Source organism: Homo sapiens, chromosome 4 (genome assembly GCF_000001405.40).
Source record: "Homo sapiens chromosome 4, GRCh38.p14 Primary Assembly".
NCBI lineage: Eukaryota > Metazoa > Chordata > Mammalia > Primates > Hominidae > Homo > Homo sapiens.
In genome coordinates this window covers 8,473,939-8,500,037 of record NC_000004.12, presented here as the reverse complement: position 1 = coordinate 8,500,037, position 26,099 = coordinate 8,473,939, and the positions used below count along the sequence as shown (strand labels likewise).

The window sequence follows — 26,099 nt, the reverse complement described above, 5'->3', positions numbered from 1 at the left end:
AGGCTGGATTTGAACTTCTGAACTCAAGCAATCGTCCTGCCTTGGCCTCCCGAAGTGATGGGATTACAGGCATGAGCCACTGCGCCCATAGGCTGAGAGCTCTCTCTCTATTTTGGCTTTTATTTCTTGTTCAAGGGTACATGTGCAGGTTTGTTATATAGTAAACTCCTGACTCAGGAGTTCAGGGTGCAGATTGTTTCATCACCCGGGTACTCAGTGTAGCATCTGACAGTTTTGTGTTTTCTTCTGAACCCGTCCCTCCTCCCAACCTCCTCCCTCAAGTAGGTCCCCATGTCTGTGATCCCCCTCTTTCTGCCCACTGTTCTCATTATTTAGTTCCCACTTATAGATGAGAACACACGGTATTTAGTTTATTGTTGGTTTCATCTTTGGTGGTGGTGGTGAAAGAGGCATGACACTAAATCGACCCTCAGGACACACTAAATCGACCCTCAGGACACTCCCCTCCCTCCCCACCCCACACGCCCCAACACACACGACCTCACCCCTGCCCACCCCCACACTCAATTCTAAAGGGAGAATAGAGACGAAACCAAAATTGGAGGGTTGAAGAAGAGGGAAGGCAAAGGCCTGAGGCTCCGTGGATGGAGAAATGTATGGCAGGTGCAGGAGGACAATTCCTGGAAAGGGTTTGGCCAGGCAGGCTGCGGTTTGGCAGCATTGCATTTTCTTGTACAACACCTCAGCTCAGGGGCTGGGGTCACCTTTAGAGACACGGCCCAGGGCAGGGGGCCCAGGCTGAAGATGGGGCAAGTGTCTCAGCACAGTGTTGGGGCAAGTCTCCTGTGCCGGATGGGAGTTCACAGCTCACCCCAGAGCCCCAGGACCCTAGAACCCAGAGCCACATCTCAGGAGGCCACCTCTAACCCAGGCCTCCTTGATGGCCACACTCTGAAGCTCCTGGGGAACTGAATCTCCAGCCCCTCCTCCTGGGCTGAAGGCCACTGCTGCAGCTGCCCCTGCTGCAGCTGTATCTGCCCCTGCTGCACCTGGAGCCACAGAACCACAGAGAGGGGAAAAGACAAACTCACCTCCCACGAGGGACCCCCTTACCTCTCAAGCTCCAGCTCAAGGGTACCTCCTCTGGGCAACTGGACCACGCAGGGACCACCAGTCCCCGACAAATATAGAGGGCCCCGTGGCTCTAACTGTAAAGGTGGGGTTCACTCCCATGCCCCCTGCCCCTGTATCTGCTGACTCCCCACCCAGAACACATCGCCCCTGGCATCTCCAGACAGGGCACAGTGGCATCGCTTCTACTCACAGACCATCAGCCAGACCTGTGGCCCAAGCTAACACAGGCAGCTGGGAATGAGGGGAGGCGTGGATATTGGGTAGGTGTGGCTGTCTCAGCATGGGACCCTCCTTCAGCACCCTGGCAGGGGGAGACACCGCATTTTATCAAATCTAAGTAAACAGCAGGAGGCATCATCCTTTCCATAACACTGAGAAAGAAAATCGCTGCCCCTCTCTCTCTTCCTCCTGCACTGGCCATATGGAGACATGCCTGCTTTCCCTTTGCCTTCCGCCATGATTGTAAGTCTCCTGAGGCCTCCCCAGAAGCTGAGCAGATGCCAGCATCATGCTCCCTAGACAGCCTGCAGAACTGTGAGCCAATTAAACCTCTTTTCTTTGTAAATTACCCAGTCTTGGGTATTTCTTTATAGTGATTTGAGAACAGACGAATACAGGAGAACACCCCTACAAGAAGGGAGGTGCACGAGGTAGAATCTGCATTTACTCGGCTTTCTGGAAGAAACTGCCAGACCCTGCAGTGCACAGGGTGCAAATCAAGCAAAATGTCATCATCTTCATACCCTGAGGAGTCAGGGGATGGAGTTCACAGCTGCCCAAACTACTGAAAATTGAGGAGAAAACCCCGGAGAAGGGGAACCCACAAAGGGAGGATCTCTAAAACCTGCATGTCCACTCTCCTGACGTCTTCCACTGAGTCCTGATTTGCACTGGAGTGGGTGGGAGTCCACAGAGGCTGGGGAGGGACAGTGAGAAGCATAGCTGAGCAAGGCCATGCTCTCAGCCCAGCAGAGGGCACAGCTCCTGCTCCCTGCCCCTGGGATTTTCCCAGCCCCCCCCACGCCAGCCCCAGTGGCACAGCTCCCATACACCATGCTGTGCAGGTAGCTCAGGTGGGCAAAGGGCAGAACCCTGAGGGGAAAATCCTCACTGCCTCTCACCTGAGTGGCATCTGAAATGTTGTGGGAAATAGAGAACTAGAGAGACTAAAGAGACTGATATGGAGAACAGGAGGATTGTTTATTTTAAGGTACACACCAGCTCAGTGGACTCACATCTAAAAAGCTGAGCCTTGAACAAAGACAGAGCAGGGTTTTTTTGTTTGTTTGTTTGTTTTTGAGATGGAGTCTCACTGTGTCGCCCAGGCTGGAGTGCAGTGGCGCGATCTCAGCTCACTGCAAGCTCCGCTTCCTGGGTTCATGCAATTCTCCTGCCTCAGCCTCCTGAGTAGCTGGGACTACAGGCGCCTGCCACCACACCCAGCTAATTTTTTGTATTTTTAGTAGAGATGGGGTCTCACTGTGTTAGCTAGGATGGTCTCGATCTCCTGACCTTGTGATCCACCCGCCTCGGCCTCCCAAAGTGCCAGGATTACAGGCGTGAGCCACCGTGCCCGGCCCAGAGCAGGGTTTTTATAAGCTGGCTTACAAAAGCAAAACAAAAGCAGTTAATCATATAGTGCATAGCTTGTGGACTTGCAGCTGCATCAAACGAAAAACAAGAACTGGCTAAATAGAGACATTTGTAAAACATAATCATGCTTAAGAGACTAAGGAAAGGAGTAACAGTAAAGGAATTGGTCTTTCTCTTTTTTTTTTTTTCCCTCAACCTTGCTCTGGAGAAGGAAGAGTTGTCTAAAGCCCATTCCTTTAGCCTTGGCTTTTCAGACAGCATTATCTTATAACTCCTTGAAGTGAGCTGCTAAATAGAAAAACACTTGTTCTTTTCTTTTTAGCCCTTGCCTTGCCACATTCTAGGACTTAGCTTTTACTTTTCTTAGAGTGAAGAAACGCAGTATTTATTTTTCTTTAATTTCTGCCTCAGAATAAGTGAGAGGTAAGCCCAGGGCCCCATCACAAAGGCCTCTTATGGGCTCTTTTCATTAAAAATCACTAAACTCCTTTTAAAAATCAATTTTTAAAAATTAATTTAAAAAATTTAACCCCATTTCGTGCTTTAAAAAAAAAAGAAAAAGAAAAAAAAAATCACTGAACTCCTAATTACCCTAGAGGCGAAAATTTACTGGCTGCCCCTGAGGCTCAGTCCTCTCTCTCTGAGGGAGCCACAGTGACCGCCTGCATCTGCAGGATAGATTAATACGCGTTTCTAATTAATCACACAGCTCTGTGACCCTGAGCAATTCACTTTCCTTCTTGGGGACCTCTGCATCTCATTTAGAGGAGCTGCCTCTGGTTAACTGCCCAGAGGTCTTTCTACTGTCAAGTGCCCTGTAGCAACCGACAGTCCCAACTGCATGGTTGAGCTCCTGCATGGGGCGGGCTTGAGATGCAAACACACACTCCTGCCTTCCATTTCAGCTGCAGCCTGGCCAGCAGGTGTTCCACCACCATCTAACAGATGAGGTGACCAAGGTGCTGCTGCAGGCCGGGATAAGAACAAGAAAGTCAGAGGCTACTGTTACTGAGTGAGGGTAGTTGTCCAGGTTCTTGGTGTTTTGAACAAAGAATTGGACACATCATACAAAGGAAGGAAGTAAAAGCAGAGATTTATTTTAAACAAAAGTACACTCCACAGTGGGAGCAGGGTTGAGCAAGTGGCTCAAGAACATCTGTCACAGAATTTTCTGGGTTAAATACCCTCTAGAGGTTTCCCATTGCTTCACTCTATGCAAATGACAGCTTCCCATTGGTTCACTCTATGCAAATGAAGGTTTCTCATTGGTTCACTCTATGCAAATGAAGGTTTCCCACTGCTTCAGTCTATACAAATGAAGGTTTCTCATTGGTTCACTCTATGCAAATGAAGTAGCGGCCTGTGGCCCATCTGATTGGCTGCAGGAGGGAAACAATCAGAATGAATAGGCCCCGCCCACGACCAGTCTGATTGGTTGTGGGAGAGGACCAGAGTGAAGAGTAGGCCCACAACCAGTCTGATTGTTTGTGGGAGGGAACCAATCAGAGGTACTTTCATGTTTCAACTGCCAGCAAAAAAAGGAGGGGTTGAAAAGAGGTTGCCTCTGGTATCCAGTCAGCAGGAATCGGCCTCAGGTTCCCTGCCTCCAGACCCGATTCTCCTGCCTCACTATCAGGTGCAAGACAAGGACAGGGTGTGCGCTGAGACACGGGTGCTGCCTGCTCCTGATTCTGGAAGGAGATATGAGGCAGTGATTTCCAAGCTTGCATAATTTGAGGGCTGCCTTTGTGATGTCGTCCCTCTCCATGCACCAAATAAACTGTCACCTAGTTAATATTTTGTATTTAGTTGACCCACTTTTTTTACTGAAATGGATTCATTTTGAAAGCTCCACTTCATCACCAATGAGAAACCACCATGCACCATGACTGGAGGGTGAAAAACAAAGGCATGCCCCCCAGACTAAAACCCGAGTGTCCCTCTGGTCAAGGGCCTCACAGGGAAGAGCCCTGCCAGGAGGCTGCAGCCCAGCGTGGAAATCCTGACTCTGGCAGTTGCTGTGTGATTCTGGGCAAGTCACTTAACCTCTCTGAGCCTCAGTTTTCTCCTCTATGGCATCAGGTCACTAACACCCCATGGGGGTTTACCTATGACAATGGATGCAAACTGCCCAAGTGCAGCAGGACTGTGAGGAACAGACAGGGGCACAGCTGCCTCCTGTTCCAGGTGTGAACAGTCTCCCTACCCTAACCTGGGGTCTCCAAATGTTCTGTCTTCCCCTGACTGAGGACTCTCATGGTGGACAAGTCAGGTGGTTCCAAACAGCCATGGCAGCCATTTCCTGGATGAAAGCCCGTGTTGGGAAAGAGCAGCTGGGAGCTGGTGAAAGCACACCGTTCACCCGTGTTTAATGCTTACCATGCACTACATCGCGATGTTTCAGTCCACCACAGAACACACCTACGACGGTGCTCCCAGAACACAATCACCAAGCCACGGGGAAGAGTCAAGCTGGGAACTGCATCAGGCAACCTGCCTCCCATTTTATCCCTATATAAGACAGCTGCAAAGACTGGAAGAAAAAAAAAAAGCTTCATACCTCCCTTGGGTATTTGAACCCAAAATATCTGAGACAGGCCTCAACCAATTTAGAAAGTTTATTTTGCCCAGGTTAAGGACACACCCATAACACAGCCTCAGGAGGTCCTGATGACATGCACTCAAGGTGGTCGGGCACAGCTTGCTTTTATACATTTTTAGGGAGACATGAGACATCAATCAACATATGTAAGATGAACACTGGTTTGGTCTGGAAAGGTGGGACCACTGGAAGCAGGGGCTTCCACGTCACAGGTAGCTAAGAGACAAACAGTTGTGTTCTTTTGAGTCCTCGATCAGTCTTTCACTGAATACACAACTTAGTCTGGCTCAGTGAACCTGCATTTCTACTAAGATAAAACAAACGTAGGGCACAGGAAGCCATCAGGTATGCATTTGTCTCAGGTGAGCAGAGGGATGACTTTGAGCTCTGTCCTTTGTCCTGTACCTGTGAATATCAGCTCTCCATTTACATTGTGAGGGTGAAATTTAACACAACTGTTTTAGGGTGAAGATCTTGGGGCCCACAAGGAATTTCCTAGGGAACAAATTGTGAGGGAGGTATGCAGCTTTTTAAAACCTATGCAGCCATCTTATTTAGGAATAGAATGGGAGGTTAGCCTAATGTAGTTCCCAGCTTGACTTTTCCCTTTGGCTGAGTGATTTGGGGGTCCCGAGATTGATTTTCCTTTCACACTTTGTGCGTCCCATCACCCCACAGCTGCCTCACACACCTGGTGTTTTCTGCATCTCTCAGTTGCACACTTTTCTCTTGTGCCTGATTTAATCTCGTGTGGTTTGTTCATCATGGTCCCTAAGCATACGAGATCCACAGCTAATGTTGCTGGTAAGAGACCAGTAAGAGTCATTATTGCCAGTGACTGACCTGAAAACGAAATGACAAGTGACTAAGGACCATGAAGGTGGAAAATCAGAGGTGGTTATGCTCGCCAGGCAGGCAGGTCCCATTCCACCAGAGCTGTGGCCCTGATGAGCAAGGACAAAGCGACAGCTGCTGAAAGAGCCAGCCTCTGTGAAAGCAAGGCGACCAATGGAAAGTGGAGGCCAAAAGGATCCGCTGCGCTGAGAGCAAGGTGACTAACGGAAAGTCGAGAGGTGCCTGGATCCAACATAGACTGAAGACCAGACAGAGGAGTGAATGCCTCTCAGCACTGTAACTGCCCAGAGGGTTCTCCTTGCCCACTGCCTACACCGAGCTGATGGATCAAAACAGGAAATTTGCAATAAAGAGCTTAATTCATGCAGAGTCGGCCGTGTGGAAGACCGGAGTTTTATTATTATTCAAATCAGTCTCTCTGAAAACTCAGGGATTGAGGTTTTTAAGGATAACTTGGTGAGTAGAGGGCCAGTAAGTCGGGAGTGCTGATTGGTCGGGTCCAAGATAAAATCTTAGGGAGCTGAAGCTGTCCTCTTGAGCTGAGTCCATTCCTGGGTGGGGGCCACAAGACCAGATGGGCCAATTTATCTATTTGGGTGGTGCCAGCTGATCCACTGAATACAGGGTCTGTAAAAGATGTTAAGCACTCATCTTAGGTTATCACAGGAGCAATTTAAGGAGGTTCAGAATCCCGCCACCTCCAGCTGCATTACTCCTACACCATAATTTCTAATCTCATGGCAAATTTGTTAGTCCTACAAAGGCAGTCTGATCCTCAGGCAGGCAGGGACTTTGTTTTGGAAAAGAGTTGTTATTGTCTTTGTTTCAAAGTTAAACCATTGTGAACCCCAAATATCTGAGACAGGTCTCAGTCGATTTAGGAAGTTTATTTTGCCAAAGTTAAGGATGTGTGCCCGTGACACAGCCTCAGGAAGTCCTGACGACATGTGCCCAAGGTGGTCGGGCACAGCTTGGTTTTATACATTTTAGGGAGACATGGGACATCAATCAGTATATGTAAGGTATACATTGGTTCCATCCAGAAAGGTGGGACAACTCGAAGCAGGGAGGGGACTTCTGGGTCATAGGTAGATAAGAGGCAAACGGTTGCATTCTTTTGAGTTTCTGATTGGCCTTTCCAAAGGAGGCAGGCAGAGACGCATCTATCTCAGTGAGCAGAGGTGGCTTTGAGTTCTGTCATTTGTCCACAAGGAATTTCCTTGTGAGGGAGGTATGTAGCTTTTTAATCGTAGTAGCTATCTTTTTTAGGAATAGAATGAGAGGCAGGTTTGCCCTAAGCAGTTCCCAGCTTGACTTTCTGCTTTGGGTTAGTGATTTTGGGGCCCCAAGATTTATTTTCCTTTCACACTGTAAACTAAGTTCCTCCCAAAGTAGGTTGAGCCTACGCCCGGGGATGAACAAGGACAGCTTGGAGATTAGAAGCAAGATGGAGTCGGTTAGGTTAGTTGTCCTTTCACGGTCATAATTTTCTGTTATAATTTTTGCAGAGGCGGTTTCAGCACCACGGCGGTCATGGCCAGAGCAAAAAGTATGTTTTTGATGTTGAAAGGAAAGGCTGGACCTGACTTTGGTATCAGATTTACTGCCAGTTCCGGGTGGTTTACATGATTTGAGGATCGTTATGCATTACATAATGTTAACATGAATGCTGAGTCTGTGGGTGCTGATGTGAAGGCAGCTGAAGAGTTTTGGAAGCTTGATTATGGAGGAGATTTACTTGCCACAGCAAATCTTCAATATGGAGGAAACCTCGCTATTCTGGAAACAGATGCCTGAAAGAACTTTTGTATCTGCCCAAGGGGTTTTTCCTGACCACTGCACAAAGAAAGACCATGGCATTTTTGTAGAGAAAGAGTTTAACAGACACAAGGGTGGCCACGCCATGTGGGAGACTGAGTTGAGAGGTGACAGCGTGCTGGCAGTCCTCACAGCCCTCGCTCGCTCTCAGTGCCTCCTCTGCCTGGGCTCCCACTTTGGCGGCACTTGAGGAGCCCTTCAGCCCACCGCTGCACTGTGGGAGCCCCTTTCTGTGCTGGCCAAGGCCACAGCTGGCTCCCTCAGCTTGCAGGGATGTGTGGAGGGAGAGGCGCGAGCGGGAACCGGGGCTGCGTGCAGCGCTTGGGGGCCAGCTGGAGTTCCGGGTGGGCGTGGGTTTGGCGGGCCTGCACTCGGAGCAGCCGGCCAGCCCTGCTGGCCCCAGGCAGTGAGGGACTTGGCACCCGGGCCAGCGGCTGCAGAGGGTGTACTAGGTCCCCCAGCAGTGCCGGCCCACCGGCGCTGTGCTCGATTTCTCGCCAGGCCTTAGCTGCCTTTCCATGGGGCAGGGCTCGGGACATGCAGCCCGCCATGCCTGAGCCTCCCACCCACTCCATGGGCTCCTGTGCGGCCCGAGCCTCCCCGACGAGCACCACCCCCTGCTCCACGGCACCCAGTCCCATCGACCACCCAAGGGCTGAGGAGTGCGAGCGCACAGCGTGGCACTGGCAGGCAGCTCCACCTGCTGCCCTGGTGCGGGATCCACTAGGTGAAGCCACCTGGGCTCCTGAGTCTGGTGGGGATGTGGAGAGTCTTTATGTCTAGCTCAGGGATTGTAAACACACCAATCAGCACCCTGTATTTAGCTCTAGGTTTGTGAGTGCACCAATCGACACTCTGTATCTAGCTGCTCTGGTGGGGCCTTGGAGAACCTTTATCTCTAGCTCAGGGATTGTAAATACACCAATCGGACACTCTGTATCTAGCTGCTCTGGTGGGGCCTTGGAGAACCTTTATGTCTAGCTCAGGGATTGTAAATACACCAATCGGCACTCTGTATCTAGCTCAAGGTTTGTAAACACACCAATCAGCATCCTGTGTTTAGCTCAAGGTTTGTGAATGCACCAGTCGACACTCTCTATCTAGCTGCTCTGGTGGGGCCTCGGAGAACCTTTGTGTCGATACTCTGTATCTAACTAATCTGATGGGGACGTGGAGAACCTTTGTATCTAGCTCAGGGATTGTAAACGCACCAATCAGCACCCTGTCAAAACAGACCACTTGGCTCTACCAATCAGCAGGATGTGGGTGGGGCCAGATAAGAGAATAAAAGCAGGCTGCTCCAGTCAGCAGTGGCAACCCGCTCGGGGCCCCTTCCACACTGTGGAAGCTTTGTTCTTTCGCTCTTTGCAATAAATCTTGCTACTGCTCACTCTTTGGGTCCACGCTGCTTTTATGAGCTGTAACACTCACCGCGAAGGTCTGCAGCTTCACTCCTGAAGCCAGAGAGACCACGAGCCCACGGGGAGGAATGAACAACTCCAGACGCGCCGCCTTAAGAACTGTAACACTCACCGCGAAGGTCTGCGGCTTCACTCCTGAAGCCAGCGAGACCACCAGCCCACTGGGAGGAATGAACAACTCCAGACGCGCTGCCTTAAGAGCTGTAACACTCACGGCGAAGGTCTGCAGCTTCACTCCTGAGCCAGCGAGACCACGAATCCACCAGAAGGAAGAAACTCCGAACACATCTGAGCATCAGAAGGAACAAACTCCGGACGCACCACCTTAAGAGCTGTAACACTCACCGCGAGGGTCTGTGGCTTCATTCTTGAAGTCAGTGAGACCAAGAACCCACCAATTCCAGACACAGAGTCACTACTCAAATCATTCTCATCCAAAGCTTGTAGGATAGGGGTTTTTCAAAGGCAGTTTCGGGGAAGGCGTGGGGGTGGCCAAGGAACGGGTGCCTGCTGCTGATTGGTTGGGCAGAGATGAAATCACACAGGATCAAAGCTGTCCTCCTGTGGGCTGAATTGCCTCTGTGGGGGCCACAGGAGCAGGGGTTGACGGGTCCAAGTGGAGCCATGGGTGTCAGACATGCAAAAAATCTGAAAACATATCTCAAAAGGCCAATCTTGGATTCTACAATAGTGATGCTATTTTCAGGAGTAATTGGGGAAGTTGCATGTCTTTAACCTCTGATATAATGGCTGGCAATCATTCATGTCTGTGCCTTAGCAGGACTCCTCTCCTCCCCCAGTCTGACGGCCTTCCATTAGCTTTACAAAAGCAGTTGAGTTTGGGGCAAAGCCTATTATAATTTAAACTACAGCCTAGGCCGGGTGTGGTGGCTCACGCATGTAATTCCAGCACTTTGGGAGGCCAAGGCAGGCTGATCACCTGAGGTCAGGAGTTTGAGACCAGCCTGGCCAACATGGTGAAACCCCATCTCTACTAAAAATACAAAAAATTAGCCAGGCGTGGTGGCTAACACCTGTAATCCCAGCCACTCGGGAGGCTGAGGCAGGAGAATCGCTTGAACCTGGGAGGCGGAGGTTGCAGTGAGCCGAGATTGTGCCACTGAACTCCAGCCTGGGTGACAGAGTGAAACTCCATCTCAAATAAAACAAAACAAAACAAAACAAAACAAAACGAAAACAAAACTACAGCCTGTCTTCCAAAGTTAGCCCAGCCCTATGGCCCAGGAATAATTGAGGGAAAGGTAAGATGGGGGTGGGTTAGCTCAGATCTCTTTCACCATCATCATTTTCTCACTGATAGAATTTTTGCATAGGTGTTTCACTGTCATCCATAAGGAGGCCAAGTCAATGCCAGGTTTCCAGGCTTTTAAGGACAGGACACCAGCCTTGCCTGGTGGCCATGTTGCAGGCTATGAATGTGATCCCATGCAATGACAGCCCCAGGGCCTTCAAGCGAAACAGTGAGCACATGGGGCCAGGGCACTGCAGGAGCCAGGCAGTCAGGAATAGCCCACTCCTCTTCCAAGAGGCCCTCCTGAGTTGCCGGATGACACAGTTCCTTTCAAGGTCTTACTTGTGGGTGGTGCTACTCCTGCACATCCTCCTCTTACTGGTGATTTTCATCCCTTCTGCGTTGCCAGGTAACACAGTTCCTTTCAAGATCTTGCTTGTGGGTGGTGCTGCTCCCACACATCCTCCTCTTACTGGTGATTTTCCTCCCTTCGTCGCAGTGGTTCCCCCTCCAAATACCACTCCCTTGATCCCATGGACACAGCACTCATAGCAGCTTTTAAGTCCTCCTGGCTGAGGAGGTCCTTTGCCTGGGCTATAGCTTCAGCTGAAGAGTCTGCCGAGAAGGCACTGATGCAACTGTGGAAGGATGGCATCTAGGGCTGCACCAGAAACCTTGTTTGAGCTTGGGGTTGTCAGGCCTCTGAGCCCAAGCCAAGCCATCGCATCCCCTGTGACTTGCACGTGTATGCCCAGATGGCCTGAAGTAACTGAAGAATCACAAAAGAAGTGAAAATGCCCTGCCCCACCTTAACTGATGACATTCCACCACAAAAGAAGTGTAAATGGCCGGTCCTTGCCTTAAGTGATGACATTACCTTGTGAAAGTCCTTTTCCTGGCTCATCCTGAGGCAAAAAGCTTCCCCACGGAGCACCTTGCGACCCCCACTCCTGTCCACCAGAGAACAAACCTCCTTTGACTGTAATTTTCCTTTACCTAACCAAATCTTATAAAACGGCCCCACCCCTATCTCCCTTCGCTGACTCTTTTGGACTCAGCCCACCTGCACCCAGGTGAAATAAACAGCCATGTTGCTCACACAAAGCCTGTTTGGTGGTCTCTTCACACGGACGCTCATGAAATTTGGTGCCATGACTCGGACCGGGGAACCTCCCTTAGGAAATCAATCCCCTGTCCTCCTGCTCTTTGCTCCATGATAAAGGTCCACCTATGACCTCAGGTCCTCAGACCAACCAGCCCAAGAAACATCTCACCAATTTCAAATCCAGTAAGTGGCCTCTTTTTACTCTCTTCTCCAACCTCCCTCACTATCACTCAACCTCTTTCTCCTTTCAATCTTGGCACCACACTTCAATCTCTCCCTTCTCTTAATTTCAATTCCTTTCATTTTCTGGTAGAGACAAAGGAGACACGTTTTATCCGTGGATCCAAAACTCCGGCGCCGGTCACAGACTAGGGAAGGCAGCCTTCCCTTGGTGTTTAATCATTGCAGGGACGCCTCTCTGACTATTCACCCAGGTTTCAGAGGTGTCAGACCACTCATGGACGCCTGCCTTGGTCTTTCACCCTTAGTGGCAAGTCCTGCTTTTCTGGGGGAGGGGTAAGTACCCCAACCCCTTCTCTCCATGTCTCTACCCCTTTTTTGCTTTTCTGAGGCAGGGGCAAGAACCCCTCAACCCCTTCTCCTTCACGCTTAGTGGTAAGTCCCGCTTTTCTAGGGGGCAAGAACCCCCAATCCCTTATTTCCACGCCCCGACCTCTTATCTCTGTACCCCAATCCCTTATTTCCATGCCCCAACCTCTTATCTCTGCACCCCGATCCCTTATTTCCATGGCCCGACCTCTTACCTCTACACCCCAATCCCTTATTTCTGCACCCCGACCTCTTATCTCTGCGCCCCATCCCTTATTTCCATGCCCCGACCTCTTATCTCTGCACCTCAACCCCTTATTTCCACGATCCGACCCCTTTCCCGCTTTTCTGGAGGGTAAGAACCCCCGAACCCCTTCCCTCCTTGTCTCTACTCTCTCTTTTCTCTGGGCTTTCCTCCTTCACTACGGGCAACCTTCCACCCTCCATTCCTCCATCTCCCTTAGCCTGTGCTCTCAAGAACTTAAAACCTCTTCAGCTCACACCTGACATAAAACCTAAATGCCTTATTTTCTTCTGCAATGCCGCTTGACCCCAATACAAACTCGACAGTAGTTCCAAATAGCCAGAAAATGGCACTTTCAATTTTTCCATCCTGCAAGATCTAAATAATTCTTGTCATAAAATAGCAAACAGTCTGATGTGCCTGACGTCCAGGCATTCTTTTACACATCAGTCCCTTCCTAGTCTCTGTGCCCAGTGCAACTCGTCCCAAACCTTCCTTCTTTCCCTCCCGCCTGTCCCCTCAGTCCCAACCCCAAGCGTCACTGAGTCTTTCTAATCTTCCTTTTCTACAGACCCATCTGACCTCTCCCCTCCTCCCTGGGCTGCTCCTCGCCGGGCTGAGCTAGGTCCCAATTCTTCCTCAGCCTCCACTCCTCCACCCTATAATCCTTTTATCACCTCCCCTCCTCACACCCCGTCCGGTTTACAGTTTCATTCCGTGAGTAGCCCTCCCCCATCTGCCCAGCAATTTACTCTTAAAAAGGTGGCTGGAGCTAAAGGCATAGTCAAGGTTAATGCTCCTTTTTCTTTATCCCAAATCAGATAGCGTTTAGGCTCTTTTTCATCAAATATAAAAACCCAGCCCAGTTCACGGCTCGTTTGGCAGCAACCCCGAGACGCTTTACAGCCCTAGACCCTAAAAAGTCAGAAGGCCGTCTATTCTCAATATACATTTTATTACCCTATCTGCTCCCAAAAATTAAATAAAAATCCAAAATTAAATCCAAATCCAAATAAATAAAATCCAATAAATAAAAATCCAAAAATTAAATTCCAGCCCTCAAACCCAACAGGACTTAATTAACCTCGCCTTCAAGGTGTACAATAATAGAGGCAGCCAAGTAGCAACATATTCCTGAGTTGCAATTCCTTGCCTCCACTGTGAGACAAACCCCAGCCACATCTCCAGCACACAAGAACTTCCAAATGCCTAAACCGCAGTGGCCAGGCGTTCCTCCAGAACCACCTTCCCCAGGAGCTTGCTACAAGTGCCAGAAATCTGGCCACCAGGCCAAGGAATGCCCGCAGCCCGAGATTCCCCCTAAGCTGTGTCCCATCTGTGCGGGACCCCACTGGAAACTGGACTGTTCAACTCACCTGGCAGCCACTCCCAGAGCCCCTGGAACTCTGGTCCAAGGCTCTCTGACTGACTCCTTCCCAGATCTTCTTGGCTTAGCAACTGAAGATTGACGCTGCCCGATCACCTTGGAAGCCCCCTGGACCATCACCAACGCCAAGCTTTAGGTAACTCTCACAGTGGAGGGTAAGTCCATCCCCTGTTTAATCGATACGGGGGCTACCCACTCCACGTTGCCTTCTTTTCAAGGGCCTGTTTCCCTCGCCCCAATAACTGTTGTGGGTATTGACAGCCAAGCTTCAAAACCCCTGAAAACTCCCCCACTCTGGTGCCAACTTGGACAACACTCTTTTATACACTCTTTTTTAGTTATCCTCACCTGCCCCGTTCCCTTATTAGGCCGAGATATTTTAACCAAATTATCTGCTTCCCTGACTATTCCTGGACTACAGCCACATCTCATTGCCGCCCTTCTCCCCAACCCAAAGCCTCCTTCGCATCTTCCTCTCATATCCCCCCACCTTAACCCACAAGTATGGGACATCTCTACTCCTTCCCTGGCAACCGATCACATGCCCATTACCATCCCATTAAAACCTAATCACCCTTACCCCGCTCAATGCCAATATCCCATCCCACAGCACGCTTTAAAAGGATTAAAGCCTGTTATCACTCACCTGCTACAGCATGGGCTTCTAAAACCTATAAACTCTCCTTACAATTCCCCCATTTTACCTGTCCAAAAACCGGACAAGTCTTACAGATTAGTTCAGGATCTGCGCCTTATCAACCAAATTGTTTTGCCTATCCACCCTGTGGTGCCCAACCCGTACATTCTTTTGTCCTCAATACCTCCCTCCACAACTCACTATTCCGTTCTTGATCTTAAAGATGCTTTTTTCACTATTCCCCTGCACCCCTCATCCCAGCCTCTCTTTGCTTTCACCTGGATTGACCCTGACACCCATCAGTCCCAGCAGCTTACCTGGGCTGTGCTGCCTCAAGGTTTCAGGGACAGCCCTCATTACTTCAGCCAAGCTCTTTCTCATGATTTACTTTATTTCCACCCCTCTGCTTCTCACCTTATTCAATATATTGATGACCTTCTTTGTAGCCCCTCCTTTGAATCTTCTCAACAAGACACACTTCTGCTCCTTCAGCATTTATTCTCCAAAGGATATCGGGTATCCCCCTCCAAAGCTCAAATTTCTTCTCCATCTGTTACCTATCTCGGCATAATTCTTCATAAAAACACCTGTGCTCTCCCTGCCGCTCATGTCCAACTAATCTCTCAAACCCCAACCCTTCTACAAAACAACCCCTTCCTTCCTGGGCATGGTTGGATACTTTCACCTTTAGACACCTGGTTTTGCCATCCTAACAAAACCATTATATAAACTCACAAAAGGAAACCTAGTTGACCCCATAGATCCTAAATCCTTTCCCCACTCCTCTTTCTGTTCCTTGAAGACAACTTTAGAAACTGCCCCCTCTCTAGCTCTCCCTGACTCATCCCAACCCTTTTCATTACACACAGCTGAAGTGCAGGGCTGTGCAGTAGGAATTCTTACACAAGGACCGGGATCGCATCGTGTAGCCTTTTTGTCCAAACTACTTGACCTTACTGTTTTAGGCTTGCCATCATGTCTCTGTGCAGCAGCTGCTGCTGCCCTAATACTTTTAGAGGCCCTTAAAATCACAAACTATGCTCAACTCACTCTCTACAGCTCTCATAATTTCCAAAATCTATGTTCTTCCTCACACCTGACGCATATACTTTCTGCTCTCCGGCTCCTTCAGCTGTACTCACTCTTTGTTGAGTCTCCCACAATCACCATTGTTCCTGGCCCCAACTTCAATCTGGCCTCCCACATTATTCCGGATACCACACCTGCCCCTCATGACTGTATCTCTCTGATCCACCTGACGTTCACCCCATTTCCCCACATTTCCTTCTTCTCTGTTCCTCACCCTGATCACACTTAGTTTATTGATGGAAGTTCCACCAGGCCTAATCGCCACACACCAGCAAAGGCAGGCTATGCTATAGTACAAGCCACTAGCCCGCCTCTTAGAACCTGTCATTTCCTTTCCATCCTGGAAATCTCAAGGAAATAACTTCTCAGTGTTCCATCTGCTATTCTACTACTCCTCAGGGATTATTCAGGCCCCCTCCCTTCCCTACACATGAAGCTCAGGGATTTGCCCCCACCCAGGACTGGCAAATTAGCTTTACTCAACATGCCCTGAGTCAGGCAACTAAAATACCTCTTAGTCTAAATAGACACTTTCACTGAATAAGTAAAGACATTTCCTACAGGGTCTGAGAAGGCCACCGTAGTCATTTCTTCCCTTCTGTCAGACACAATTCCTCAGTTTGGCCTTCCCACCTCTATACAGTCCAATAGCAGACCAGCCTTTATTGGTCAAATCAGCCAAGCAGTTTTTCAGGCTCTTAGTATTCAGTGAAACCTTTATATCCCTTACAGTTCTCAGTCTTCAGGAAAAGTAGAACAGACTAATGGTCTTTTAAAAACACACCTCACCAAGCCCAGCCACCAACTTAAAAAGGACTGGACAATACTTTTACCACTTTCCCTTCTCAGAAGTCAGACCTGTCCTCAGAATGCTACAGGGTACAGCCCATTTGAGCTCCTGTATAGACGCTCCTTTTTATTAGGCCCCAGTCTCATTCCAGACACCAGACCAACTTAGACCGTGCCCCCCCCCAAAAAAACTTGTCAACCCTACTATCTTCTGTCTAGTCATATTCCTATTCACCGTTCTCAACTACTCATACATGCCCTGCTCTTGTTTACACTGCCAGTTTACACTGTTTCTCCAAGCCATCACAGCTGATATCTCCTGGTGCTATCCCCAAACTGCTACTCTTAACTCTTGAAGTAAATAAATAATCTTTGCTGGCAGGACTATGCTGAATCTCCTTAGGCACTCTCTAATCAGATGTCCTGGGTCCTCCCAATTCTTAGACCTTTTATACCTGTTTTTCTCCTTCTCTTATTCCATTTAGTTTTTCAATTCATACAAAACTGTATCCAGGCCATCACCAATAATTCTACACAACAAATGTTTCTTCTAACAACCCCACAATATCACCCCTTACCACGAAATCATCCTTCAGCTTAATCTCTCCCACTCTAGGTTCCCACACCGCCCCTCATCCCACTCGAAGCAGCCCTGAGAAACATTGCCCATTATCTCTCCATACCACCCCCCCCAAAATTTTTGCCGCCCCCACACTTCAACACTATTTTATTTTTCTTATTATTATAAGAAGGCAGGAATGTCAGGCCTCTGAGCCCAAGCCAAGCCATCGCATCCCCTGTGACTTGCACGTATATGCCCAGATGGCCTGAAGTAACTGAAGAATCACAAAAGTGAAAATGCCCTGCCCCACCTTAACTGATGACATTCCACCACAAAAGAAGTGTACATGGCCTGTCCTTGCCTTAAGTGATGACATTACCTTGTGAAAGTCCTTTTCCTGGCTCATCCTGGCTCAAAAAGCACCTCCACTGAGCACCTTGCGACCCCCACTCCTGCCCGCCAGAGAACAAACCCCCTTTGTAATTTTCCTTTACCTACCCAAATCTTATAAAATGGCCCCACCCCTATCTCCCTTTGCTGACTCTCTTTTTGGACTCAGCCCGCCTGCACCCAGGTGAAATAAACAGCCATGTTGCTCACACAAAGCCTGTTTGGTGGTCTCTTCACGCGGACGCTCATGAAAGGGGTGATGACCCAGGTGTGCCTGCCAAGGTGTGCGTGAGTGGCATCCAGAGGAGGACACGCAAGAGTTCACCCAGGACTTCAAAGGATTTGCCCAGGATGAGGAGGCTGCAAAACTCAACACGGCTGTGGCTAGGACGGCAAACAACTCCAGTCTAGGGTGGAGGAGGATGCCGTTGAGGAGTGCCTCCAGGCGGTTCCTGAAGAACTGACAAATGAGCTGCTGGAACTGGAAGAGGGACGCAGAGCTGAACAAGGGGCAAGAGAAGAGGCAACTGGCGAAAAACAAGATGAGCCCCAAGAAAATTTACAGTGAAGGGTTTAGCAAAAGCTTTGCAGACCTCGACACGCACCTTAACAAGTCTGAAGCATAGACCTCAACACGGAAGGCTTTCTTTCATAGACAGGAATGTTCATAGTGCCTTATCTGCTTACAGGCAAATCTATGATGAAAAAAGGAAACCAAGCACATCACCATGGCCATGTTTCTGAAAAGAGTGACAATTCCTCAAGAAGAGCCTCAGACAGGGCTTTCAGGATGGATTCAGAAAGCAGCCCTGTTATCACAGGCGGTGACTGCCCTAGGTGTGCTAGTCCCCTAAAGACCTTCTGATGGGACAAGACGAGGAGGTGGGAGACAGTGATATTGATGATCCTGACTCTGTGTAGGCCTAGCCTAGGCTAATGTGTGTGTTTCTCTTTTCATTTTTAACAAAAAAGTTTAAAAGTAAAAAAGCATAAAGAGAAAAGCTGATATAATATAAAGAATATTTGCCTGTAACCCCAGCACTTTGGGAGGGTGAGGCAGGAGTGACATAGTAGGTTGGTAGGCAGGCAGCAGCGGGACAGGAAAGGGCTACCCCAACCCACCAGGAATGTCAGGTGACTGAGCATCAGGTTGTCGACGAAGAGAGTAGATCCCTGTAAAGTATTTGTTTTCTGTAAAATATTGAAGAGATTTATTCTGAGCCAAATATGAGTGACCATGGCCCATGACACAGTCCTCAGGAGGTCCTGAGAACATGTGCCCAAGGTGGTCGGGGCACAGCTTGGTTTTATGTATTTTAGGGAGGCATGAGACATCAATCAAATACATTTGAGAAATACATTGGTTTGGTCCAGAAAGGCGGGACAACTCAAAGGTCGGAGCAGGGGAGGGAAGCTTCCAGGCTACAAGTGAATTTAAACATTTTCTGGTTGACAATTGGTTGAGTTTGTCTGAAGACCTGGGATTGATAGAAAGGAAATGTTCAAGTTAAGATAAAGATTGTGGAGACCAAAGTTCTTTGAAGTCTAATAGTCGCTGCCCTTAGAGACAATAGATGACAACTGTTTCCTATTCAGATCTTTCAAAAGGTGCTAGAGTTTTAATCTCCTCAGGATTGGGAGGGTCTGGAAGAAAAAGATCTAGCTATGTTAACAGAGATTCTTTACAGATGCAAATTTTCCCCCACACAAAACAGCTTTGTAGGGTCATTTCAAAATATGGTTAAACACATTTTGAGGTAAACTACTTTGATTTTTCTTCCTTGACTTGTAATGTTATGCCAGGGTCAGGTTGGAAAGTAAGTCATAATATATAGGGTTAAATAAAACCCATCTGATGAGAATTTCTGATTTGCAGGGCAGGACTCCCCAGACCCCTTAGATAGGAATTTGGGCAAGATAAAAAATCAGTTTAGTCCTTGAGGTGATGGTCCCACAGTTGTTACACTGGCTGTCTAAAAATGATCATTGGTCGCAGGCGCCAGGGAGAGGCAATTTCCCAATAGATAAAGGCACTTGAAATTGCTCACCAGCGGCTTCCAATAAAATCTCAGGAATTGGGTAAGTGGGCTAGAGCAAGCGCATTAAGAGACAAAATGGCAGAGTATGACCTTCTGGGGGCGTCCTACCGGAAAAGGGAAGCAGCCTCAGGCAAACATACATACAACTTCACAAACCCACTGCGAATGCTCACGTCCGGAGTGCAAGGAGGGCACCGTGCATGCAGGCAGCCCACCCTAAGGAAAGCATCATGGGAAAAGGGACACAAGGCCCCAGAAGTACGCCAATATATAAGACCCCAAGTCAAAAGGTCAAATGCTGCACTCCACCTCCACAGTGCGTGCTTGGGTCTCTTCCAAGTGTACTTTTTCTTTCCTGCTCTAAAGCTTTTTAATAAACTTCCACTCCCGCTCGGAAACTTGCCTCAGTCTCCTTTTTCCGCCTTATGCTCTTCAGATGAATTCTTTCTTCCAAGGAGGCAAGAGTTGAGGCTGCTGCAGACCCATGTGAATTCACCACTGACAACTCAAATATTCGCCACCCCTAACAGGAGGACCGCTTCAGTCCAGGAGTTCAAGACCAGCCTGGGCAACATGGTGGCACGTGCCTGTGGTCCCAGCTACTTGGGGGGCTGAGGCAGGAGATCAATTAAGCCCGGGAGGCTGAGGCTCACTGTAGTGAGCCGAGATGGCGCCACTACACTCTAACCTGGGTGACACAACAAGACCCCGTCTCAAAAAAACAAAATAAAAAAAGGAAAAATATTTTTGTACAGCTGTACGATGTGTGTTTTAAGCTGTTATTAAAAAAGAGTCAAAAATGTTTTTAAAATTCATAAAATTAACAAGTTAGAAAAAAGCTCAAGTGAATGTGTTATTGAAGACATTTTTTTAGTATAAACTGAGTGTGGCCTAAGTGTGTTGTTCATCCAGCCTGCAGAAGGGCCTCAGAGGCACTCCCTCTCCCTCACGGACACCCACAGCCTTGTCCACAGGCCCCAATCAGCTGAAGCATGTGCCCTCCACAGCTGAAGCATGTTTTCTCTTTTACATCATATTTTCACTATACCTTTTCTACGTTTAGATACAGACACTTACCATTGCGTTACAACTGCCTACAGCATTCAGCACAGTTAATGTGCTGTGCAGGCGTCTGGTCCAGAAGCAACAGGCCATCCCGTCCCCCACAGCCTGGGTGTGGGGCAGGCTGTCTCATCCATGAGCGCGGGGCACACTCTGATGTTGCAGGATGATGAAATCACCTAACAACGCATTTCTCAGAATGCATCTGCACTGTTAATTGACACATGACTGTGCTTTCTCGTGAACCACCTTTTCCCAGAATGATGAGGTCCACAATATAGTTTCCAAGCAAAAACGGCAACAAGGAAAGGTCAAGCAGAAATGAGCTGGGGGCAAGTCAGCAGAGGGCTCAGCTTCTCCTCTGGGACTCTCTTCTCAATCCACCTACACAAGGCTCTTCTGCACAAGGCCCGGGTTCCTCGTTCTGTGACAGTTGTGGCCCTGGAGAGTAGCCGCAGCGGATGGCAGGATGAGAGGGAGAATACGCGGCCTCAGCCCCTCCTCCAGGAAGCCTGCCCTGCCAACCCCGACAGACCCCAGGGCTTGGCCATGCCACGAGCCAAGGCCTACGTGACCTGGTGTCTGAATCCCCAGCACCAGTCCAAGGGGCTGCGGTCACCATGGTAACTCCACAAGGGCGCCTGCAGGCCCCAAGACCACAATGCTCACCACAGGTGGGCCTCCTCTGCAGCAGATGGGGCAAGTCGCGGCGCCTGGGGACAGAGGCTGCCCCTCAGCCAGTGAGACCTAGTGCCTGCGTGGCACTAGTCTGAAAAGCAGTGTAGACGCACTGTACCCCTGGCGAGATTCCCCCTCATGCCCACCTTCATGGCATTCCCTCGATCCCACCTGTCCAGGGGAGACATTCAGGCTCTGAGAAGTCACCGGGAAGCCCTTGGGGCTGGCCACAGCAGGCTGCCATGATCAGTGCCCCGCTCCACCCCCCGCCAAACCTCTATCTGCCCACCTTCATCCACAGATGTACTGTTCATTGCTGCAAGGGAACCGTGCCCGACACCCAGTCACATGACCTGTGGACAGGGGCACAGTGCTGCTGGGGGGCAGTAAGAAATGGTACCTGGAACCTGGAGATCAGGTCAGGTGATGTAGTCCCCAAGGGCTGTTTCTACCAGCTGATTATGCCAGGTGACACGGAGGGGCCTATGGCCATGGTGGGCCCCACTTAGCATAGCTCTTGGCCTGGCAGGACCCCACCTGGGAGAGCCAGGGCCACCCCACATGCCCCCAACCCCATCTGATGCTCCTTTGAGACTGTGTCCTTGCGGCTTGTGACTGGAAACTGCCGTAACAAGTGTTGGGGAGCTCATCTTCCCCAGGGCCACCGCCCTCACCAGGACTGCAGCTCCAGAGCCAGGTTTGGAGTCCAGCAGCACCAAGCGCAGAACCAGGCTCTGTGGCCACTCTCCTGTCTCCCCACACTGGAAAACTAAAGCAGGGGCTCTGGGCTTGGGAAAGACCTGGGAAGGGGAGAGGAAATGGGAGTCCAACCACCTGGAGCCATCCTGGGCCTGGCAGAGGCCACACACTCTGGCATGGGGGACACCTTGGGAGGCCCCGAGGCTTGGGCGGCATCCTGGGCTTAGCTCAGGAGGTGTGCCCCTTCCAGGAGGCGGCGGCAGGGCTGGTCTTCTGGGCCAGGCTCCCTGCACTTCCCTCTCGCTCTGCCATCCCTTGATGTCGCCCCAAGCCCCTTTGTGGTTGGCCTCAGCCCTTCCTGCTGCAGGGAGAGCTCCAGCGAGGCTGCAGGACTGGGGGGCCGAGGGGCATCAGGTGGCTTGTCCTGAAGTGCATGACCCTGGATGTGCTGAGCAACAAAACCTGAAAGCCCTGGTGCAGCCTGGCAGGAAGATGCCTCACGGCCTAACACAGGGGCTGGGGAAGGGATGCGGCTCTGCGGCTTGTCTTTGGGAAGAGAGTTCTTTCCATCTACCTGCTCCACCACCCTCAGTGCTGGGCTCCTGGCTGCTCCCTCGGGGCTTCTACACCAGGTGTCCCCTGCAGGGAGAACTTCCCAGCGTGGGGACCCCAGAGGCCTCAGCAGAGCTCCCTTGTGCCTCACTAGTCAGAGCTGCAGCTGCTCGACAAACTGGGGCCTGCCCCAAAGGGCCACGGAGCGCCAGTCTCCCAGTAAGATGAAGGGTGGACACTTCCAGGGCCAGGCACCTCCTGGCACATCCTCAGCCTGGGATCTGCGCTCTGGGACTGACTTGGAACTCAGAGGGCAGGGTCTGGGCCCGTGGCAGCGCCGCCCCGTGGTGCTGCAGAGCTGAGGTGCCTTCAGAGAAGATGCCCATTTATTCTCACTGCTCAGGTGTGATGAGTGCGGCGCTGCCACGGAATGCCACACGGCTGCTGCCAATAATCAGGCAGATATACCCAATGGAGAGGCACCAGGGTACACTGCAGAAAGTCAACGGCAGAACAGTGTGGACTGCATGTGACCTTTTGTATAAAACCATAGAAATAACTTTAAATAGAAACATCGGGGGTCAGACGCCATGGCTCGCAGCTGTCATGCCAGCACTTTGGGAGGCTGAGGTGGGAGGACTGCATGAACCCAAGAGTTCAAGGCCAGCCTGGGCAACATAGCGAGACCCCGCCTCTAAAATTTTAAAAGTTGGCCAGGCATGGTGGCGTGCATCTACAGTCCCAGTCACTTGACAGGCTGAGGCAGAAGGATGGCTTGAGCCCAGGAGTTCAAAGCTGCAGTGAGCTATGATCTTGCCACTGCACTCCAGCCTGGGCGAGAGATCAAGACCCTATCACTTCATAAAAATAAAAGAGAAACAAATCAGGATTTTTTTTTCTGGAAGGACTAAAAAGGACTGCTGCAGTATTTCTGGGGAGAGGGTCTCATGGAGGAGGGAGGAAGGTGTAGGTCTTACCTTTGTCATCTGTGATATTTACATTTTTAAAGCCCTGTCAACAATTCACTTAGGATTTTTTTTTCATGCCACTTAGAGTGGCCCATGTCAGGAAATTATGAGTGTTTTTATTCTCTGTAACTCTAAAAACAACCTCAACATAGCAAGCCTGACACCTTTTTTAAAAATACCAATCTGGTGGATCCCTGCTCCAGAGCAGCTGCTCTCCAGTGTGGTGAGAAACGCTGGCAGATACGGTCTTACTTCTCGAGGAGCCCCATCCTCTTCACAGATGTGGACATGGTGGGGCAGGCGTCGGACAGCGCCCTGGGAAGGGCCTGTGCAAGGCAGCCTCAGCCGCTCTCCCCCAGGAGACATTGTAAGGATCCGTGCACAATCTTTATGATATGAAGATGCTGCGCACGTTTCAAGCGGCTGCATCTGAAACAAGCCAGGCAGTCAGCTGGGGGCTTCCGAGTAACTGTGGCTTCTCTGGCGTGTGATGTTTATGAAATACGGTTCATCACTGTGAGGATGTGGAGAAAGCTGGGAGGAGGTGGGCTGAAACACAGCCAGAGCAGAGACCACAGCACTGACGACTGCTGGGGAAGCTCTCCTTGGTTTGGCCTCCCCAACCAGGCCTCGGCTGGCAAGGATGCAGCTCATGAAATCTTCTTCCTCGGGGTGGTCCGGGGTGGCCGCAGCTCCGCAGGCCCATGGGCAAACGGGCAGCAGTCCGTGGACAGAGCGCAGCCATCAGGGTGATGCATGAAGAACCAGCAGAGGCGGGTTTTGCAGGCTTCAGAGAGCAGTCTCTGTTTCGCTTCCGGTTGCTTTGTCTTCCACAGTGTCTCCTCTCGCCAGTCGCGGATGTGAACTCTCCCATTCACAACTGTGGTTTGGAACAGAGAAGACACACTGAGAAGTAAACCTGAAAGTTCCTTAATTCACCAGCCTCTCTTTAGCTCCCACGCCACGGGAGGTGCCAATCCAGGGTCAGGGATACAACCGGAACACAGCCTAGAGTTCCTGCTGGTCACAGTGAGTCTGCCTCCAGTGGGAGTGACTGAGGTATGGGATGTGTCTTCAGGCAAGGCCGGGGAAGGTGAGCCCTGCGGGAAGTGAGCGGCAGCCCTGCGCAGACCCAGGAAGAGCATTTTAGGCAAAGCAGCAGCAAACCCGAGTGTCCCAGGACAGACTGCACCAGGACTGGCCACATTCGAGGGACAGCCAGAGGGGAGGGCAGAGGACAGAGCTGGGTCCCTTGTGGCCTCATCATTGAGGCCACCGACCTTCCCTCTGGCTGAGAGGCAGGTCCTGCAGAGCCACCATTTTAGAAGGATCACTTGAGTGGAGGAAGGAGGGACCACGGTGTGAGAGCCGAAACACGAGAAAACATCTGTGCTGCAGCCCCGACCTCTGAGGACTGTGTCAGCATTACGGGCAGAAAGAGGGGCAAGGCGCAGGTCCCTCCACGCAGTCTAAGGACGGGGCTGGTGCAGGGCAGCCTCTGCTCCTTGGTGCCGTCCCGGTGCACTGGGTTTACATGCGCCTCCCAACCGGAGCCCCTCCAGGTGCAAGTGTGGAGTAACAGAGGCCAATGAGCTCTGGAACAGGAACACGAAGGGGGACCTGCCTATGTGCAGTAGTTTAGATACCCCCTCTGAAAGTGCCACTGGGACCCAATGGCCAGGGCTGATCTCCAAACTGGGGAGCTGGAGGGACATCAGAGTGGGGTGGGGCCAGGAGAGGGCTGCTGTGGGCCCGCTCGTCACCTGGGTCCCAGGCCTCGCAGGCCTCCTCTAGGCTGCCTCCTGACCCCGCCGCCCAAATTGGGCCGAGATACCCCCCTACGCTCCCATTTGGCCGTTTCCTTGTGGGAATCCAACAACTCCCCGTGAAACATGGCCAAAGCAACCACCTCCTTCCTGGTTCTCGCTGGAAGCTAGGAAACCGCTCACGACAGAAGGCTCGGGGGAATAAAGGAGCCTCAGTGAGGAAGTCTGGCTCACCGACTTCCAAAGAGAACTTGAAAGTGTAGGAATTAAAGCTCGAATTCTGCCTTCAAATCACCTTGTGTGTGGCAATAACGAGCCTGTGTGCTTTTGACAGACTGATGTTTTACAGTTTCCCCTGAAACTAGAGAAATGAGCCCAGAGAACGGCGCCACAGTTGGGGGCTCACCCTCACAGCCTGGCTGGAAGCACCGCCAAGGCCAGGCCTGACCCTGTTTGCCCTCCCACGGCTGCCTCTCTGTCTCGCCTCCCAACATTGGAGCTGAGGTTTCTTAACCTGAAGTCTCCTGTTAAGGCAGTCCCGCGACACTCTGCCCATGTCCCCACAGCAGCACCTCCTGGCGCAGCACAGAAGGGCACATCCTGGCCACTGAGGGACCTGGAACCCTCTAAAGGGTGCTCAGGAGGAGCCCCAGGGGCCAGAGCTTCCCCCCAACTCCCCATGATCCCAAACAGTGAGGGGCCTCTGGCCTGATGCCCTGACCTGTCAAGAGAATGGGGGGTGGGGGATCACTGAGGCCAAAGGCTGAGTACAGATTCCCCTCAGAGCCAGCCTCGGCACCCCCTTCCCCACCACAACGTGACAGGCCAGCTGGCGGCAGGCCCTCCCACGCGGCTCCGGAGTTAAGAGCACACCCAACCATGTTTTGGAAGCAGGACCTGCAGGGTGTCTAAGGACTGAGGAGCGGGCGCTGATGATAGAGATGAGG

At 50.8% G+C, this 26,099-nt stretch overlaps 1 protein-coding gene across 14 annotated transcripts in view, besides 5 other annotated features; it reads right to left on the bottom strand.

Annotated features, from left to right (window-relative positions):
* Positions 1-26,099, bottom strand: part of TRMT44 (tRNA methyltransferase 44 homolog) — a 76,174-nt gene that overhangs the window by 16,913 nt on the left and 33,162 nt on the right. For 5 of the 14 annotated variants that reach the window (XM_011513408.2, XM_011513409.4, NM_152544.3 and 2 more), the window contains one exon: positions 23,483-24,266. The exons of 7 other annotated variants lie outside the window; for them this stretch is intronic. In XM_011513408.2, the coding sequence (XP_011511710.1) occupies positions 24,037-24,266 (230 nt within the window). In that variant the 3' untranslated portion in view covers positions 23,483-24,036. Of the gene's footprint in view, positions 1-6,504; positions 6,773-20,504; positions 24,509-26,099 lie in introns of those variants that run through there. 2 more of the 14 variants (XM_047449678.1, XM_011513407.3) reach the window with 2 other exon arrangements.
* Positions 887-1,387: an enhancer, noted in NCBI's record as "H3K4me1 hESC enhancer chr4:8500378-8500878 (GRCh37/hg19 assembly coordinates)". NCBI's record gives its function as "activates a minimal SCP1, AML or CMV promoter by ChIP-STARR-seq in naive H9 embryonic stem cells {active_cell/tissue: H9 hESC(naive)}" and the evidence as "EXISTENCE:reporter gene assay evidence [ECO:0000049][PMID:30033119]".
* Positions 8,380-8,898: an enhancer, noted in NCBI's record as "H3K27ac-H3K4me1 hESC enhancer chr4:8492867-8493385 (GRCh37/hg19 assembly coordinates)". NCBI's record gives its function as "activates a minimal SCP1, AML or CMV promoter by ChIP-STARR-seq in naive H9 embryonic stem cells {active_cell/tissue: H9 hESC(naive)}" and the evidence as "EXISTENCE:reporter gene assay evidence [ECO:0000049][PMID:30033119]".
* Positions 9,006-9,722: an enhancer, noted in NCBI's record as "H3K27ac hESC enhancer chr4:8492043-8492759 (GRCh37/hg19 assembly coordinates)". NCBI's record gives its function as "activates a minimal SCP1, AML or CMV promoter by ChIP-STARR-seq in naive H9 embryonic stem cells {active_cell/tissue: H9 hESC(naive)}" and the evidence as "EXISTENCE:reporter gene assay evidence [ECO:0000049][PMID:30033119]".
* Positions 18,591-19,317: an enhancer, noted in NCBI's record as "NANOG hESC enhancer chr4:8482448-8483174 (GRCh37/hg19 assembly coordinates)". NCBI's record gives its function as "activates a minimal SCP1, AML or CMV promoter by ChIP-STARR-seq in primed H9 embryonic stem cells {active_cell/tissue: H9 hESC(primed)}" and the evidence as "EXISTENCE:reporter gene assay evidence [ECO:0000049][PMID:30033119]".
* Positions 20,602-20,896: an enhancer, noted in NCBI's record as "tiled region #4448; K562 Activating DNase matched - State 5:Enh". NCBI's record gives its function as "activates a minimal TATA promoter and a strong SV40 promoter by Sharpr-MPRA in K562 cells {active_cell/tissue: K562}" and the evidence as "EXISTENCE:reporter gene assay evidence [ECO:0000049][PMID:27701403]".